Genomic DNA, 20,008 nt, shown 5'->3' with positions numbered 1-20,008 from the left:
CAGGCCACACCATGGCATTGTTTTGTCTGCCCAGGGTCCCTGGACTAGGCAGCGTGAGGCTGAGAGGCAAGTCCACTTAGCACCACATGCTGTCTCTGAAAACAGAGGCCCAGCTTTTTCGACAAAGTGGCTGCACCTCCCCAAAATGGAGGAACAAACCCAAAACCCAGGAAGCAAGCCATGTCCCCACCTCTTTAGAGCTGGGTCATGGTATTGAGGTGTTCAACAAATTCAGAGAGAGACTCAGTAGGGACAAGCACCGGGGGAAGGCTGTCCAGGAATCTAGTTTCTACCAAACCCTCTTTAGGCAACTCAGAGGTTAAACAGGAAAAAAGGTATCAGTGTCCAGGTCTCCATCATGGGTGGATGTTATCTAGAGATTCCTAGATAAACAGGGAAGGGAGTCAAAGCACATCTACCCACACCTTTGAGGGCAAACAGCAGATAAGGTAGAATGGTCCCCATCAAAGGTGAGTAAATGCAACAAAAGCAGCACAAAGGATGGGCAGAATTTCTACTGAAAGAAAGAAAAAGAAAGAAAGAGAGAAAGAGAAAAAGAAAGAAAGAAAGAAAGAAAAAGAAAGAAACAAAGAAAAAAGAAAGAAAGAGAAAGAGATAGAGAAAGCAAGAAAGCAGAGCAGGGAACAGATACAGGATAAGAATATTTTGGAAGACTCTCTTGAGAAAACAAGAAATTTCCAGTTAATAACTGCTTCACACTCTCAAGGAAGTCAAAGCCTGATTTCCATGTTCAATGGGTAAGCCATGAATTGAGATGAAAGAGAACTGTCAGAGCTATGGAAAGACGTGAAAGAGGCAATCATGTTCATCATCAAACCAGCAAAGCTAGAGTCAACAATGCTGAAAACAAATCAGTGATATGGAGTAAAGGCTTACAAAAAATCAAGATAGTTACTACTTATTGACATAAAGCTTGCTAAACAAATTGCACTTTAGTGGGGATGGGCGCTGTGGCTCATGCCTGTAATCCCAGCACTTTGGGAGGCTGAGGCGGGCGGATCACGAGGTCAGGAGATCGAGACCATCCTGGCTAACACAGTGAAACCCCGTCTCTACTAAAAATACAAAAAATTAGCTGGGCGCGGTAGCGGGCGCCTGTGGTCCCAGCTACTCAGGAGGCTGGGGTAGGAGAATGGCGTGAACCCAGGATGCAGAGCTTACAGTGAGCCGAGATCACACCACTGCACTCCAGCTTGGGTGACAGAGCGAGACTCCATCTCAAACAAACTAACAACAAACAAAAAAAACCAAATTGCACTTTAATCTTTGTAGCAGCCCTCTCAGATGAAAATTGTTAACCTTATGGTATGGGGATAAACAGAGGTTTAGCCAAGGGAGACCCAGAGATTTGGAACTCAAACCCAGATCTAGCCTGTCAACCCCCTGCTCTTGAACACTGCAAGGTGAAGACTCTCCAACTTTAGCATGTCATTAAAATTGTTTTGTTTTGTTTTGTTTTTTTGAGACAGTCTCACTCTGTCACCCAGGCTGGAGTGCAGCGGCACAATCTTGGCTCACTGCAACCTCCCGGGTTCAAGCAATTCTCCTGCCTCAGCCTCCCGAGTAGCTGGGACTACATGCATGCACAACCACGCCTGGCTAAATTTTGTGTTTTTAGTAGAGACGGGGTTTCACTATGTTGGCCAGGCTAGTCTCGAACTCCTGGCCTCAGGTGATCTGCCCACCTCGACCTCCCAAAGTGCTGGGATTATAGGCATGAACCACCGTGGCCAGCCTAGAATTGTCCTAATCCTGTGGCCAATAGCCAGGCACCAAGGTCAGGGATTAAATAAATTAGATGGACCTTATCAGTGGGAGAAGCAGGCTGGGTGTGAGCTATAGAATTTTACCCAAAATGGGAGGTATGATTGAAAGATTATGAAAGGATTGAATCCAGGGCACATGGGGTTGCAAACGGCCTCAGCTGAGGGGATGAACCTGGAGTCCCCCGCTGCCATAGTGACCCTAAATGACAAGCCAGCACACTCTCCTTGCCGTGGGCAGGATCACCTTGGGCACCTGCAGCTCTGAAGTCTGTGGTTTGAGTCTAACAACTCCTCACTCTAAGCAAACACAGCCTGCCTGAAAAGGTAATGAATACAGGCATTGAACTGTCCATGCAGTAACCTCAGCTTGTTTGAGAAGACAAATTGTTCTCTTCATGCTTAAGTGTCTTTCCAACCCAGGAAAGTTAGGTTTATGAATATCCAGTTTATGTTTGTTATTTGACGTCATTGTAATGTTCACATGTGTTTGGCATATTAGTGAAATCTGTCTAATACATTAGGTAGTGATTCAATTTTAAAAGTAAAATGGATCTCAGGCTTACAGTTTTAAATGGGCAGATATAAAAGAATTTGATGAAGTTGTAAATACTATTATAATACTAAAGAGAACTAGATTTACAGTATTTTTAAATCAGTGAGGGTTGCTGAGTATGGCACATAGGAAGGTCTTGCTTCATAGCCGCTGGGTGCTCCATTTAATGCGTTTTAAAAGGAAATCAAGACTTGGTAGAAGATGGAAAAAACATACTTTTTCCTATTCCTTCCACTAAATACAACTAAACTTCCTGGATATCATATGTAAAACAAGCATAAGAAGACTCTGAAAGGTGGAGAGAAGAAAGCAGGTCAGCGAGCGACCTCACGGCTCAAGGAATGACAAAGTGCTAAGTTTCCTGGGTTTTCTTTATGCCCTAAATCACCAGACTTGCAGCTTGAGGAAGCCAGAAACTCAACAATACCAATGGATACAGACTAAATAAACACAAGTAACCCTCCAAAAGCAAAATCCCAATAAAAACCCTCTTTATCCCTGTAGGAAATGGGTGAGGAAAGGGGCAGCCAAGCAAGACAGAAAACACTGCAAAAATGACTGGTCTACCCCAGCCAGACAGCATCCCCAGCCACGTGAACATGGGCCAAGGGGAAGCCTAGGTTGTTGCCCTCACCAGGTTGTAATGAGCACCACAATCTGTCCACCAGGACGAGGTCAGAGAAGGCCAAGTAGCAGCTGGGATTTTCAATCCCTCCAGGCACTAATGAGCCTCGCCCCTTGCAACGTCGGTAGAGACCCCTAGAGAACCTGGACTTCCACCCCTTACCCGGCAATAACAAAACTCCCTTCCCACTCCACCTTGAGGTGGCATTAGAGGAGGTCTAGCTGACAGTAAGGCTTTTATCACCACCTAGTAATCAAGAGGCCACCTTACCTTCTTGATGTTAGTGCAGGCCACATGAGGAAAAACGACAAGGCGCTTCTACCCCTCCCAGATAGGAAGGTATCTGTGGAGGTCTAGTGGGGACCCAGAACTCCCACTCCCACCCAGCAGTAATGAGGAACCCCCATTCAGGTGTCAAAGGAAGCTGCATGGAGAACCTAGACTTTAAATCCCACCTGACAGTAACAAGGCTTGCCCCCCATTCCTCTGCTTGGGTAGTGTCAGAGAAAGAGAGCTGAAACAGAAGGTACAAGTAAGATCCAGCATCTCATAACACCTAAGATGTCCAGCATTCAACTAAAAATAACTATGATACCAAGAACTAGAAAGATCTCGGACTCAATAAAACAGACAATCAATAGATACTAGCTAGCACTGAGATGCCAGAAATGTTAAATTATCTTACAAAGATTTTAAAGCAGCCACAATAAAAATGCTTCGACAAGCAATTATGACCACCCTTGAAACAAATGTAAAAATAGTTTCAGCAAAGACCTGAAAGATACAAAGAGCTAAAAAGAAATTTTAGAATTGAAAAATGCAATCACAAATAAAAAGCTCGGTAGCAAAATGGAAGTGGAAAATAAAAGAAATAGTGTATTAGTCTGTTCTTATGCTGCTAATAAAGACATACCCAAGACTGGGTAATTCATAAAGAAAAAAAGGTTTAATGGACTCACAGTTCCACATGGCTGGGGAGGCCCCACAATCATGGTAGAAAACAAAGGAGGAGCAAAGCATGTCTTACATGGTGGCAGGCAAGACAGCAAGTGCAGGGGAACTCCCATTTATAAAACCATCAGATCTCAGGAGACTTATTCACTATTACGAGAACAGCATGGGAAGGACCCACTCCCATGATTCAATTACCTCCTACCGGGTCCCTCCCATGACACTTGGGAATTATGGGAGCAACAACTCAAGATGAGATTTGGGTGGGGACACAGCCAAACCATATGAAACAGTGAACTGGGAAATAGACCAATAGAAATCACCAGTCAGAACAACAGAGAGAAAATAGACTGAAAACAAAAATGAACAGAGCCTAAGGGACCCACGGGACCATAACAAAAAAGATTTAACATTCTTGTGATTGGTCACCCCAAAAGAAAGGAGAAAGAGGGTGAGGTTAATAAAATACTCAGAGAAACAATGGCTGAAAACTTTCCAAATTTGGAAAATAAACCAACAGATTTAGAAAGCTATGTGAACCTGAAACAGTACAAAACCAAAGAAATCCATGCCAAGATGTAGCATTATTAAATTTCTGAAAATTAATGGCAAAAGAAAAAAAACTGAAAGCAGCCAGAAAAAAAAAGAAAACAAAAACCTACCTTACTTTACCTATGAGGAAAAGCTATTTGAATGACTGTCGATTTCTCATCAGAAACCAGAAGAACAAAAGAAACGGTATAAGATTTTGAAAGTGCCAAATGAAAACAACTGCTAACCCAGAATCCTATATCCCATGAAAATATGCTTCAGCAATGAAGAGAAAATCAAGGTATTCTCAGATGAAGGAAAACTAAGAGAATTTGTTGGCAGGAGACCTATCGTGAAAGAATGGCTAAAAGAAGTTCTCTAAACAGAAACAATTTTTTAAAATATTTGAATATCAGGAAGGAAGAAAGAACAAAGTAGGCAAAAATATGGGTAATTACAATAGATTTTTTCTCTTCTTAATCTTCTACATTATGTTTGCTAGTTAAAAAATATAACTTTAATGTGGTTCTAAATGTATGTCAAGAAAATATTTAAGACAATTATAAATGGGGGAAGGTAAAAGGATGTAAAGGGAGGTAAGCTTTCTGGACTTCACTCAAACTGGTAAAATGACAACACCAAAAGATTGTGATAAGTCATGTAATACCTAGAGCAACCACTTAAAAAGGATATAAATAGATATTTTTTGAAAGTAATAGACAAATCAAAGCAAAAAAAAAACAAAGGAAAAAAAGAAAAATCAAAGCAAAATTCTAAAAGAAATTTTCAAGTAACCCACAGGAAGACATGAAAACAGAAAATTGAAAAACACAACAAGCAGAAAAGAAAATAGCAGACTTATACTCTAACATATCAATAATTACATAAAATGTAAACGTTCCAAATATACCAATTAAAAGACAGAGGTTGGAATAGTCGTGTAAAAAGACAAAATTTAAGTATATGTTATCTGCAAGAAGCTCATTTCAAATACAATATAGGCAGGTTGAAATTTTAAAAATGCAAAAAGATCTATCATGCAAACATTAATTAAACAAAAGCAGGAGAGGCCATATTAATATCAGATAAGGTAGACTTAGAAACACAGAAAATTACAAGACACAGAGAGGGACATTATACAATGATAAAAGAGTCTATTTACCAAGAAAACAGCAGTCCTAAATATATAAGCATCAAACTGAACTGCGAGGTATGTAAAGCCAAAACTCAGAGAATTCAAAGGAGAAGTAAATAAATCTATAATTACAGTTAAAGACTTTCTCAACAATGGACAGGACAACTAGACAGAAAACAATCAACAAAGATATAGAAGAAATCAATAATACCATTAATAAACAGGATCTAATCAACATGTATAGAACATTCCAGCCAACAACAGCAGAATACACATTCTTTTCAAGTGCGTATGTAACATACTCCAAGGTGGATAATATCCTGGACCATAAAGCAAACCTCAACAAATTTAAAAGAATTGAAATTATACAGAGTGTGCTCTCTGATCACAATAGAGTCAAACTAGCGATAAATAACAGAAAGGTAGCTAGAATGTTCCCAAACACTTGGAAACTAAACAACATACTTCTAAACAATCCATCAGTCAAAGAGAAAATCCTGAGGAAAATAAGAAAATTCACCGAATAAAATGAAAATGAAAATAGACCTTATCAAAATTTGTGGGGCACAGGTAAACAGTGCTAAGATGAAAATTTGTAGTATAAATACATATAATAGGAAAAAAAGAAAAGTCTCAAATCAAAAGAAAAAGATCAAAATAGACCTAAAGAAAGGAGAAGGAAGAAAATGTTAAAAAGAGCAGAAATCAATGAAATTGAAACAGAAAAGCAGTAGAAAAAATCAACAACAAAAGCTGGTTCTTTGAAAAGATCAGTAACATTAATAAACCTCTAATAAAACTGACATAAAAAAAGAGAGAAGACACGAATTACAAATATCAGAACTGAAGCAGGGGATATCATTACAGACCTTGCAGACAGCAAAAGTCTGATAAGGAACTTTACATACATTCATTTGACAACTTGGTGAAAATATCCAATCCTAGAGTGCTACTTAGTCATTCCATTTATATAAACTTTTTGAAAAGACAAAATTTTGGAAATGGAGAATAGATTAGAGTTTGCAAGGGTCAGGAACAGGGAGTAGTGAGTGGCAGGGTGTGTTGGGGAGATTGACAGAGTAAGATTAGGAAATTGCACTGATGTCAATATCTTGGTTGTGATATTATACTACAGCTTACAAGATGTTACCAGTGGGGGAAACTGGGTAAAAGGTACATGGGATCTCTCTGTATATTTCTCACAATTGCATGGGACTCTAAGTTTCTCAATAAAAATTTCAATGGAAAAAGATCAAATATATCACATTTATAAATACAGTTGAAATGTTTAATAATAAAACTGGGACCAAATGTTTAAGTGAAATTTGTTCTGTCACCTTAAGTTTGTCAAAGTTGCTCTCATTTTATAAAAAAATTAGATATATAAATAAAATTATAATATTTATAAATTAAAATTTAAAACAGAGTAAAAACTAGGTACTTAAATTTGTTATTTTTATAAACTAATATAACTTAAAATCTGAGTAACTAAAGTCTTTTGTGAACAAAAGCCACTCTCAGACATGAAAAGCTCCACATAGAGGCCAGGCTCAGTGGCTCAGGCCTGTAATCCCAGCACTTTGGGAGGCCGAGGCAGGCGGATCACGAGGTCAGGAGATCAAGACCATCCTGGCTAACACGGTGAAACCATGTCTCTACTAAAAATACAAAAAAAATTAGCCGGGCGTGGTGGCGGGTGCCTGCAGTCCCAGCTACTTGGGAGGCTGAGGCAGGAGAATGGCGTGAACCTGGGAGGTGGAGCTTGCAGTGAGCCAAGATCGCGCCACTGCACTCCAGCCTGGGCGACAGAGCAAGACTCCGTCTCAAAAAAAACAAGAGAAAAAGAAAAAGAAAAACTCCACGTAGAAAATTACATGGAATTCAAAGAAAAGGCCAAAGGGATTAAAGCAGTTAGACAAAAACATAAATACAGGGGCATACACTGGAGATTTAACACGTGGACAATTAGTATACCTGAGGAAAAAAACAAAATTACAGGAAAAAGAAATTAAATGCAGGCTGAGCACGATGGCTCATACCTGTAATCTCAGCACTTTGAGAGGCCAAGGCAGGAGGATCACTTGAGCCTAGGAGTTCAATACCAGCCCTGACAACAGAGTGACTCCCGTCTCTGCCAAAAATTTAAAAAATTAGCCAGGCATGGCCGGGCACGGTGGCTCACGTCTATAATCCCAGCACTTTGGGAGGCCGAGCCGGGCAGATCACGAGGTCAGGAGATCGAGACCATCCTGGCTAACACAGTGAAACCCCATCTCTACTAAAAATACAAAAAAATTAGCTGGGCGTGGTGGCGGGCACCTGTAGTCCCAGCTACTCAGGAGGCTGAGGCAGGAGAATGGCATGAACCCAGGAGGCCGAGCTTGCAGTGAGCCTAGATCGCCACTGCACTCCAGCCTGGGCAATAGAACGAGACTCCGTCCAAAAAAAAAAAAAAATTAGCTAGGCATGGTGGCGCATGCCTATAGTCTCAGCTACTTGGGAGGCTGAGGTGGGAAGATCGTTTTTGCCTGGGAGGTTGAGGCTGCAGTGAGCTGTGGTTGTGCCACTGTACTCCAGCTTAGGTGACAGAGTGATACCCTGTGTCTCACACAGACACACACACACACACACACACACACACACACACAATGTTAAATACAACAATATTTTATTAAAACAAAAGAAAATGTGAATCTACAGATTAAAATGGTGTTCTAGAAAATAAATATATAAATAAAAGGTTGATCCAGATTATGGTAAAAATATTTTCTCTGATAATTAAAAAAATGAATTTTGATTTAGGCAAAATTCAAAGGAAAAAAATTAAGTGGCTGATAGATTTTCCTAGCAACTCATCTGCCAGAAAGCAATGGAACAATATCTGTAGAATTTTAGATGGAAAATGTTAAGACTGGGAAATTCTATAAAATGTGATGGCAATAGAAAGATATTCTCAAACCTGCAGTCACATTCTGCCAAGAGAAATGGAGTGATGCTGGCCTGTCAGGTGGGGATGCCAGGCCATACTGGCAGACACTGTGTAGGGACAGCCTGTCACGTGTACTGCACAGCTTTACTCAAAAGACATCTTGCAAAATCCACAGATAACTTTTTTTTTCTCTAGTGACCTCTTCAATCTCTTCCAGAACAGATCACCCAGACTAGCCTCTTTGATAGCCTCCAGCTAATCATTAGAAAAATCACCCTGCCTAGGCTGGCACCTTTTTCTTCTGTCTTTATAAATCCTCCCACTGGTTTGTTTGTTTATTTATTTAGGTCTTTGTGCCTTGGTAAGAATCTAATGTCTGTCTCCTTGGTGTGCTTGTGAATTAGTTACCCAGCTCATGAAATATTTCTGAGTTATGCTTTGAGATTCACGGTCCTTCCTAGAAAGCCACTGGAAGACATGGTCCCCACAACCAAGAGATGAATTCAAATAAATGACTCACAAGCTGGGATGACCTGGGAGAAGAGACCTTGTGCTAAATAATTCATTTACTTAAAACATTCAATTAACTTAAATAATCAGAGCAACAAAATGGTATACAAATATTATAAATCTTGAAAGGAAGACTACAGAATGTAAAAACAAAAGCAATTTCTTTATCGCCATAAACTGGGACAGGAACCCCAGAGTACATTCCAAAGTATGGTGGGGAGGAGAAGAGGCGTATAACTATGGCAAAGTCAGTAAATGCTATGTTTTCCAAATAATTGCCAGAAGTTAGGGAAGTTGGTTAAGAAAGAAACACTGCCCATATAGAAAAATATAACTGGGGAGGGAGAGGAAGCCAGAAAAAAAAAAAAAAGTAACACCAAAGTGTTTCAAGCAAACCAGACGTGGGATAATTCAATTATATTACAAACATTAAAATGGATTAAAAAGAGGCCGGGCGTGGTGGCTCATGCCTGTAATCCCAGCACTTTGGGAGGCCAAGGCGGGCGGATCACTTGTGGTCAGGAGTTCAAGACCAGCCTGGCCAACATGGCAAAACCCTGAGTGTGGTGGCTCACGTCTGTAATCCCGCTACTGGGGAGATTGAGGCACGAGAATCGCTTGAACCCAAGAGACAGAGTTTGCAGTGAGCCGAGACTGCGCCACTGCACACTCCACCCTGGGTGACAGAGAGAATGTTTCAAAAAGCGAAACATTATTATATGTTCTTTACCCAACTCACAGTTAGAACAACTCTACGCAAATTCATTTAAGGATCTAAATAAAATGATCAAAACACCACACACGGCTAAATGGAGAAGCACAGAGGAACCATATTCACTTCAGGACAAGTCAAGGCTATGTACCCATGCCTCTAGTGTTTACCTTTTTTTAAAGAGGTATTAACAAAAGCAAATTGACAAAAAGACATAAAAACTGGAAAGTTTAGACATTTGAGGTGATCAACTTCTCATTGTTTGCAGAATATTTGTGTTTTTGGTGGTTTTTGTGTTTGTTTGTTGTTTGTTTTTGAGACAAAGTCTCCCTCTGTCACCCAGCCTGGAGTGCAGTGACATGATCGTAGCTCACTGTAACCTGGACTCCTGGGCTCAAGCCATCCTCCTGCCTCCGGTAACTGGAACTACAGATGCACACCACCACACCAGACTAATTTTTGTATTTTTTGTAGAGACGGGGGTCTCACTATGTTGCCCAAGCTGGTCCTGAACTCCTGGCTCAAGCCATCCTCCCGCCTCAGCCTCCCAAAGTGCAGGTATTACAGGCATGAGACACCACACCCGACCTTTGATTTTTTTTTTTTTTAACCTAAAAAATCCAAGAAAATCAACTAAGAAACTCTTATAAGCCACAGCTGTTTCCAGAAGTGAAGACCATTCTGGAGCCAAGGCGGTGGGAGTGATAAAAGGGCAGAGAAAGGCAGAGATGGTGGAGAAAGGGCCAAAACTAGAGAGGGAAAGTGGGAGAGAGGGGAGGGTGCGGAGGCGCAGGGGCTGGTGGGAGAGGGGAATGAGTCATCTTCCCTAGTTCTCGCTCTACCTGATTAGCCTGTGTGTGTGTGCCATGCCAGCCAGGAGAGTCCCCGCCACACCCCCCAAATCTCTGACACTTTTGTTGTCCCTCAGTTCCCAGGAGACCTCAACCTCTCCAGAGTTCTAGCCTCTTCTTAAAGGGCAGAGTCATGGGAACTCAGATGGAGTGAGGGGATCTCCTGTGAAGGTCTCCTTACAATGAAATGACTTTGCAGAAATTTGGACACTACCTCCAAATGCAGATTTATGGCCCGGCATGGTGGCTCATGCCTGTAATCCCAACACTTTGGGAGGCCGAGGCAAGGATATTACCTGAGGTCAGGAATTCGAGAGCAGCCTGGCCAACACGGTGAAACCCTGTCTCCCCTAAAAATACAAATTAGCCGGGCGTGTTGGTGGGTGCCTGTAATCCCAGCTACTCAGGAGGTTGAGGCAGGAGAATTGATTGAACCCAGGAGGCAGAGATTGCAGTGAGCCAAGATCGTGCCACTGCCCTCCAGCCTGGGTGACAGAGTGAGACTCCGTCTCAAAAAGTAAAATAAAATAAAATAATTTTTTAAAAAATCCAGATTTATTTTCCCTAGCTCGAAAGCCAACCTCACATCGAGCCTGTCTGTGGCCACACTGGGGCCCAAGGGGATGGAGGAAAAATAGATACTAAAAATGAATATTAAGCCTTTGTAACGGCATAAAAAGTACCTATGTTTAAAAGTTTAAAGGTTATGAAAAAAATGAAACAAAATTGATCTCATTTACTAAACAAAAGGCAATAGAGGCTGGGCACAGTGTCTCATACCTGTAATTCCAGAACTTTGGGAGTCGGAGGCAGGCGGATCACTTGAGGCCAGGAGTTCAAGACCAGCCTGGCCAACATGGTGAAACCCCATGTTTACTAAGAATACAAAAATTAGCCAGGTGTGGTGGTAGGCATGGCATCTGTAATCCCAGCTACTCAGAGGCTGAGGCAGGAGAATCGCTTGAACCCGGGAGGCGGAGGTTGCAGTGAGCTGAGATTGAGCCACTGCACTCCAGCCTGGGTGACAGAGCCAGGCTCCGTTTCAAGGAAAAAAAAAAAAAAAAAAGGCAATAGAAAAGACAGTGAAGGAAAATATACTGAAATGTGGGCAGTGGTTGTCTCTGAGTGCTATGATGATCGGTTGTTTCCTCTCTAGACTCCTGCTCTTTTCACATAAAATTGTCTGTAATGTATGTATCCAAATGTATATCTCTATAGTGCATGTATAATATAGGCATGTGATTTTCATAAGCTGCAGGATATACCTATTTTTTATTCTTCCCAAATCATTCAAAGTAGCACTACTTGCAAATTTGGCAAAATTTTGAAAATTTATTAACTCAGCAAACACTTCTTTTTTTTTTTTTTTTGAGACGGAGTCTCGCTCTGTCACCCAGGCTGGAGTGCAGTGCTGCGATCTTGGCTCACTGCAAGCTCCGCCTCCTGGGTTCGCGCCATTCTCCTGCCTCAGCCTCTCGAGTAGCTGGGACTACAGGCGCCTGCCACCACACCCAGCTAGTTTTTTTGTATTTTTAGTACAGACATGGTTTCACCGTGTTAGCCAGGATGGTCTCGATCTCCTGACCTCGTGATCCACCCACCTTGGCCTCCCAAAGTGCTGGGATTACAGGTGTGAGCCACCTCGGACGGCCTAACTCAGCAAACATTTTTTAAAGTGACCCTCCCTTAATTGCAAAGTGCACTGATTTCCACCCTCCCCAGCGCAGTCCCATTGGGCAGGACATGACGTCACTAAAGTCACTAGGGCAGTGTCCGCCCAGCCCAGGTCCTGGGGAGGGCTAGGGTTAGCATCCTCATTAATTGGGCTTCTACTGTGCACCTGGCACTTTACACCCATTACCCCATAGAATCCCCAGGGAAATCCCTCAAAGTAGGTGTTATTACCCCAGTTTACAGACATAAAAATTGGGTCCCAATATTAATGTGCTACTAAACAGCAATGCTGTGCTTCCAACCGACGTGAACATCCCAAAGCTTGTGCTCAATTCCAGTGATTTCCAACAGTTACTAGCTGTGGAATCCTCTGCTCAAATATTACCCTAGTGAATGAGCTTGCCAGGGATGCCATACCAAAGTGCACAGGCTGGGTGGCTTAAACAACAGAAATCTATTTTCTCACCGTTCTAGAGACTGGAAGTCCACGATCAAGATGTCAGCAGGGTTGGGTTTCCTCTGAGGCCTGTCTCCTCGGCTGGCAGAGGGCTGCCCATTTGCTGCCTCTTCACTTGGTGGTCCTTCTGTGCACCGTGCACCACTGGAGTCTCTCTGTATCCAAATTTCCTTTTTTTTTTTTTTTTTTTTTTGAGACAGAGTCTTGCTCTGTCGCCCAGGCTAAAGTGCAATGGCGCGATCTCAGCTCACTGCAACCTCTGCCTCCTGGGCTCAAGCAATTCTCGTGCCTCAGCCTCCTGAGTAGCTGGGATTACAGGCATGCACCATGTCCGGCTAATTTTTTTTTTTTTTCCCCCGAGACAGAGTCTCGCTGTCAGCCAGGCTGGAGTGCAGTGGCACGATCTCGGCTCACTGCAACCTCCACCTCTCGGTTTCAAGCGATTCTCCTGCCTCAGCCTCCCGGGCTCCCGAGTAGCTGGGACTACAGGCACATGCCACCACGCCCAGCTAATTTTTTTGTGTGTATTTTTAGTAGAGATAGGATTTCACCATGTTAGCCAGGATGGTGTCGATTTCCTGACCTTGTGATCCACCTGCCTCGGCCTCCCAAAGTGCTGGGATTACAGGCTTGAGTCACCGCGCTGGGCCAATTTTTTTGTATTTTCAGTAGAGACGGGGAATGTTGGCCAGGCTGGTCTCGAATTCCTGGCCTCAAGGGATCTGCCCGCCTTAGCCTCCCAAAGTGCTGGGATTACAGGTGTGAGCCACCATGCCGGATCCCCAAATTTCCTCTTCTTATATGGACACCAGTCTTATTGGATTAGGGCCCACCCTAATGTATCCGGAATTGGTGGGTTCTTGGTCTCATTGACTTCAAGAATGAAGCCGCGGACCCTCCAGGTGAGTCTTACAGCTCTTAAGGTGGCGCGTCTGGAGTTTGTTTCTTCTGATATTCAGAAGTGTTTGGAGTTTCTTCCTTCTGGTGGGTTCGTGCTCTCGCTGGCTCAGGAGTGAAGCTGTAGACCTTCGCGGTGAGTTTTACAGCTCATAAGAGCAGCGTGGACCCAAAGAGTGAGCAGCAGCAAAATTTATTGCAAAGAGCGAAAGAACAAAACCCCCACAATACAGAAAGGGACCCAAGCCGGTTGCCACTGCAGGGTCGGGCAGCCTGCTTTTATTCTCTTATCTGGCCCTACCCACATCCTGCTGATTGGTAGAGCCAAGAGGTCCGTTTTGACAGGGCGCTGATTGGTGCATTCACAATCCCTGAGCTAGATACAAAGGTTCTCCAAGGCCCCACCAGAGCAGCTAGATACAGAGTGTTGATTGGTGCACTCACAAACCCTGAGCTAAACACAGGGTGCTGATTGGTGTGTTTACAATCCCTGAGCTAGACATAAATCTTCTCCACGTCCCCACCAGACTCAGGAGCCCAGCTGGCTTCACTTAGTGGATCCCGCACGGGGGCTGCAGGTGGAGCTGCCTGCCAGTCCCGCGCCCTGCGCTCGCACTCCTCAGCCCTTGGGTGGTCGATGGGACTGGGCGCCGTGGAGCGGGGGGTGGTGCTAGTCGGGGAGGCTCGGGCGGCACAGGAGCCCATGGAGTGGGTGGGAGGCTCAGGCATGGCGGGCTGCAGGTCCCGAGCCCTGCCCCGCGGGAAGGCAGCTAAGGCTCGGTGAGAAATAGAGTGCAGCGCCGGTGGGCTGGCACTGCTGGGGGACCCAGTACACCCTCCGCAGCCGCTGGCCCAGGTGCTAAGTCCCTCATTGCCCAGGGCCAGCAGGGCTGGCCGGCTGCTCCGAGTGCCGGCCGTCAAGCCAACGCCCACCCGGAACTCCAGCTGGCCCGCAAGCGCCGCACGCAGCCCCGGTTCCCGCTCGCGCCTCTCCCTCCACACCTCCCTGCAAGCTGAGGGAGTGGGCTCCAGCCCTGGCCAGCCCAGAAAGGGGCTCCCACAGTGCAGTGGTGGGCTGAAGGGCTCCTCAAATGCCGCCAAAGTGGGAGCCCAGGCAGAGGAGGTGCCGAGAGCAAGCGAAGGCTCTGAGGACTGCCAGCACGCTGTCACCTCTCACTAATAGCCTGAGTTTAACCTAATCACCATTTTAAAGACCTGATCTCCAAATACAGTCATATTCTGAGTGGAGGAGGACTGGCGGGTGGTTAGGGCTGCAATATGTGAATGTTGAGGGGTCACAATTTAGCCCATAACACCTGGACTTTAATGTTTAAATGGGGTTTGTTCTGGTGGAAGCTGGGCTGAGAGGCTTGGAGACCAACTTTCCAATTCCCTCCTTTCAATTTCCTAAAGCCCCTTTACTGCTTTGAGAGGGAAATATTAGGAAATCACTAGTTTTTATAGCTTTGGAAAAAGAGAAAATATTCAAGGAAACTCAATAAACTAAAACACCACACGAGTCATTTCTGTGAAAATACAGATGGGGCCATCAGCTAATTTAATATGAACGCTGACACAGTTCATATGACGTTTTCCTCAACTCACCCAGAATTTCTCTGTGTTGGCCAGAATAACCTCTGAATTATTTTCCTCACCAACTTCTGCAATTAAAAGGATAAGGCCAGGTGCAGTAGCTCACACCTGTAATCCCAGCATTTTGGGAGGCTGAGGCGGGTGGATCACTTGAACTCAGGAACTTGAGACAAGCCTGGGCAACAGAGCAAGAACCTATCTCTACAAAAAAATACCAAAGATTAGCCAGGTGAGGTGGCACATGCTTGTGGTCCCAGCTAATTAGGAGGTTGAGGTGGGAGGATCACTTGGACCCAGGAGGTAGAAGCTGCAGTGAGCTATGATTGCACCACTGCACTCCAGCCTGGGCAACAGAGTGAGACCCTGTCTCAAAATAAATAAGCAAATAAATAAAAGGATAAATACCCCTCCAGAAGATAGTAAGCTTTGCCTTTATGTATTTATATTTGAAGATAAAATATTGACTATTTTGGTGGCATAACTAGCATATTTGACACCAGGGGAGCTGATCATTTTTAAACATCTTCCTCCTCCATACAACAGAGTTATTTTTGGTAATAATTACATAGTAATAAGTAATAATCAGCACTGTCTTGATTTGTTCTTTAGCTGAACAACAATGAACACTTTGAAAAGAATAAATTTCCATTTAAAGATATTCAAATTTGGTAAAATATTTCATGCATGAACTAAAATTTTCACTTACCAAATAAAAGTATACCACATGGTTAGTTCTTTTCCACAGTTTTATTATTTATTTATTTATTTGAGATAGATAGGGTCTTGCTCTGTTGCCCAGGCTGAAGTGCAGTGGCACAATCATGGCTCACTGCAGCCTCAACCTCCCAGGCCCAAGTGATCCTCCCACCTCAGCCTCCTGAGTAGCTGGGACCACAGGCGTGTGCCACCTGGCCTGGCTAATTTTTTAATTTTTGTAGAGATGGGGTCTTTCTATGTTGCTTAGGTCAGTTTTGAACTCCTGGACTCAAGTAATCCATCTGCCGCAGCATCCTAAACTGCTGGGATTACAGGCATGAGCCACCGCGCCCGGCCCACTGTTTTAAATGTTAAACACAAGCAAAACTCCAAGTGGCCATAGAGAATGACATAATTACAGTAACTCATGCTCTGTGTCTTTGGTCTTTACAATTACTACACTGTCCTGGCTTACTTTGAATCTACTGTTTAAACACAGGAATACGTATTATCCTAAGTGTTGAAGACACAAGCTGCAACCACAATGAGCTCTAGTGATTCCAAACCGTTAAGAACTTACCTGCAAAGTGAGTATGTGAGAGCAGCCCCCAGTATCGTTGTGAGTTCTCTGGATGAACTTCCAAGTACAAGGGTTAGTAAAGCCCAAGAGATAGGAATGTGCCCACTGAAGCTCAGATAACCACAGTAGTTATTTGGAACTTAGAACAATAAATCACCCACATTGTTTAGAATTGTCAGCACACGGTGATAGTGAAAAGCAGACTGGGTTCTCTTCTTGTTTTTCTGTCATCTGCAAACAATGCCTCCTTCTGTGCCTGCCCCTGGAACAGAGGGCTCCCACTGCCTGGTTCTCAGCAGAACTCAATGATGGCCATTCTCTTTTAGTTTCCATCACCCTACAGGTTTGGGTTTCCATTTTCCTCCCCAGCCCCTTTTGGTTTTCTTTTCTGGCTCCTCCTCTCCTACTCAACCTCTAACAGCTGGAATGCCTCAGGCTCCATCCCAGGCCGACCTTCAAGTTTATTCCTCCCCAGGTTCTCACCATCTCAATATATGGCACCAGAGCCCACCCACTGGTTCAAGCCCACAGTGTATCCATCACCCTTTATTTCTCCCTTCCCGCCCTACCTTAAGCCTTCGGGAACCTGTGGGTTCTGGCTCCAGTGTATACCTGGGAACTGGCTACTCCTATAGCTCTCTACTTAGGCAAACCTTCTCTTATGGACTGATGTCTCCCCACCCCCCAAAAAAATCATATGGTGTGGCCGGGTGTGGTAACTCAACGCCTGTAATCCCAGCACTTTGAGAGGCAGAGGCGGGCGGATCACGAGGTCAAGAGATTGAGACCATCCTGGCCAACACAGTGAAACCCCGTCTCTACTAAAAATTCAAAAATTAGCCAGGCGTGGTGGTGCACGCCTGTAGTCCCAGCTACTCAGGAGGCTGAGGCAGGAGCATCACTTGAACCTGGGAGGCAGAGGTTGCAGTGAGCCAAAATCGCGCCACTGCACTCCAGCCTGGCAACAGAGTGAGACTCCATCTCAAAGAAAAAAAAAATCATATGCTGAAGTCCTAACCCCCAGCACGTCAGAATGTGACTGTATTTGGAGATATGGGCTTTAAAGAGGTAATGAAGTTAACATGAGGTCATTAGGGTGACCCTTAATCCAGTATGACTGCTGTCCTTACAAGAGGACATTAGCACACAGACTGGCACAGGAGGGAGACCACGTGAAGACACAGGGAGAAGGTGGTCACCCACAAGCCAACGAGAGGCCTGAGAAGGAATCGACCCTGCCAGCACCTTGACCTTGGTTTGCCAGCTTCCAGGGCTGTGAAAGAGTGCATTTCAGTTAAGCATCCAGTCTTCCGTATTGTGTTAAGGCAGCCAGACCTGACTAAGGCACCCTCCTCACCACTCTTCCCGCTTCCCACTCTGAAAATTGCCTTTTCCCTTTTGAGAATCGATTGCTCGTGCACCTTGCTGGCCCCCTATCCCCTTTGGGGTTTTCTATTTCTTTTAGATTTGTAGGACTTTGTCAATTATGAGTTGAAACTGTTTCCTTCTGGTTTTAGGCTTGCGTTTTCACCTTTTAAAAAATTATGTCTGGGCTGGGCACAGTGGCTCACGCCTGTAATCCCAGTACTTTGAGAGGCTGAGGGGAGCAAATCATTTGAGGTCAGGTGAGGCAGTTCTGCAGTCATTTACACACACTTTTAATTATATGCAAATCAAGGGGCAGGTTATGCAGACATTTCTAGAAAAAGAGCTGTAACTTCCGGGTCATTGGGTTGTTGCCATGGAAAGAGGTGGTAACTTTGGGTGTCTGCATGGCAGTGGTAAACTGACATGGCACATTGGTGGACATGTCGTATGAAAAGCTGCTTCCACCTCGTCCCTGTTTTAGCTAATCCTCAACTTGGTCCAGTACCCAAACACCGCCTCTGGAGTCCAATCCCACTTCCTACCTCAGATACAGTCCTTTTTTTGATACTTTCATTTAAAATCTTTTTATTTTTTTTTTTTTTTGAGACGGAGTCTCACTCTGTCGCCCAGGCTGGAGTGCAGTGGTGCAATCTCAGCTCACTGCAAGCTCCGCCTCCTAGGTTCATGCCATTCTCCTGCCTCAGCCTCCTGAGTAGCTGGGACCACAGGCGCCCGCCACCACACCTGGCTAATTTTTTGTATTTTTAGTAGAGATGGGGTTTCACTGTGTTAGCCAGGATGGTCTCGATCTCCTGACCTCGTGATCCACACACCTCGACCTCCCAAAGTGGCTGGGATCACAGGCGTGAGCCACTGTGCCCAGCCTATTTAAAATCTTTGTATGAACTTAAATATATCTCTTACAAATAGCTCAGGATTTAATTGTATTTTTTTAAACCTAAAATCATCTGTATTTTATTTTATTTTGAGATGGAGTCTCACTCTGTTGCCCAGGCTGGAGTGCAGTGGCATGATCTCAGCTCACTGCAACCTCTGCCTCCAGGTTCAAGTGATTCTCCTGCCTCAGCCTCCCGAGTAGCTGGGATTACAGATGTGCATCACCATTCCCAGCTAATTTTTGTATCTTTAGTAGCGATAGGGTTTTGCTATGTTGGCCAGGCTGGTCTCAAACTCCTGACCTCAGATGATCCGCCCGCCTCGGCCTCCCAAAGTGCTGGGATTACAGGCATGAGCCACCACGCCCGGACCAACATCTGTCTTTTATCTCGCAAGTTCAATTCATTTACACTCCTTGTGATTACTGACATATTTTTATTAACTTTTACTGTCTAATTTAGTACTTTCTATTAAACAAGAGTTTCTGTACTTCTGTTTCAAATTTTTCCTGTCTTCTATTGTACTTTGTACTGTTATTCTTTTTTTTTTTTTTTTTTTAAGACGGAGTCTTGCTCTTTGGCCCAGGCTGGAGTGCAGTTGTGCAATCTCGGCTCACTGCAAGCTCCGCCTCCCAGGTTCATGCCATTCTCCTGCCTCAGCCTCCCGAGTAGCTGGGACTACAGGCACCCGCCACCATGCCCGGCTAATTTTTTTTGTATTTTTAGTAGACACGGGGTTTCACCGTGTTAGCCAGGATGGTCTTGATCTCCTGAGCTTGTGATCCGCCCGCCACGGCCTCCCAAAGTGCTGGGATTACACGCGTGAGCCACCGCGCCCGGCCTGTACTGTTATTCTTATTGCCCTTTTATACCCACTAGTGGTTGGGAAGTTATTCATTCAACATCTTTTAGTGTTATTCACTTTTTAAAAAGTTGAAGTACAGCATACATAGAGAAAAGTGTGTCCTCCAGCTTTTTATTTTATTTTTTTTTTTTTGAGACAGTCTCACTTTTGCCCAGGCTGGAGCACAATGGTGCAATCATGGCTCACTGCAGCCTTGACCTTCTAGGCTCAAGCAATACTACCACCTCAGCCTCCCAAGTAGCTGGGACCACAAATGCACACCACCATGCCTGGCTAAATTTTTAAAAAAAATTATTTTCTGTAGGGACGGGATCTCCCTATGTTCCCCCAGGCTGGTCTTGAACTCCTGGACTCAACTGATTCTTCCACCTTGGCCTCCTAAAGTGCTGGGATTACAA

At 44.2% G+C, this 20,008-nt stretch overlaps 1 annotated feature.

Annotated features, from left to right (window-relative positions):
* Positions 14,012 to 14,549: an enhancer, noted in NCBI's record as "H3K27ac-H3K4me1 hESC enhancer chr8:23129689-23130226 (GRCh37/hg19 assembly coordinates)". NCBI's record gives its function as "activates a minimal SCP1, AML or CMV promoter by ChIP-STARR-seq in naive H9 embryonic stem cells {active_cell/tissue: H9 hESC(naive)}" and the evidence as "EXISTENCE:reporter gene assay evidence [ECO:0000049][PMID:30033119]".

Source organism: Homo sapiens, chromosome 8, assembly GCF_000001405.40.
Source record: "Homo sapiens chromosome 8, GRCh38.p14 Primary Assembly".
Classification (NCBI taxonomy): Eukaryota; Metazoa; Chordata; class Mammalia; order Primates; family Hominidae; genus Homo; species Homo sapiens.
This window is presented reverse-complemented; position numbering and strand designations above follow the sequence as displayed.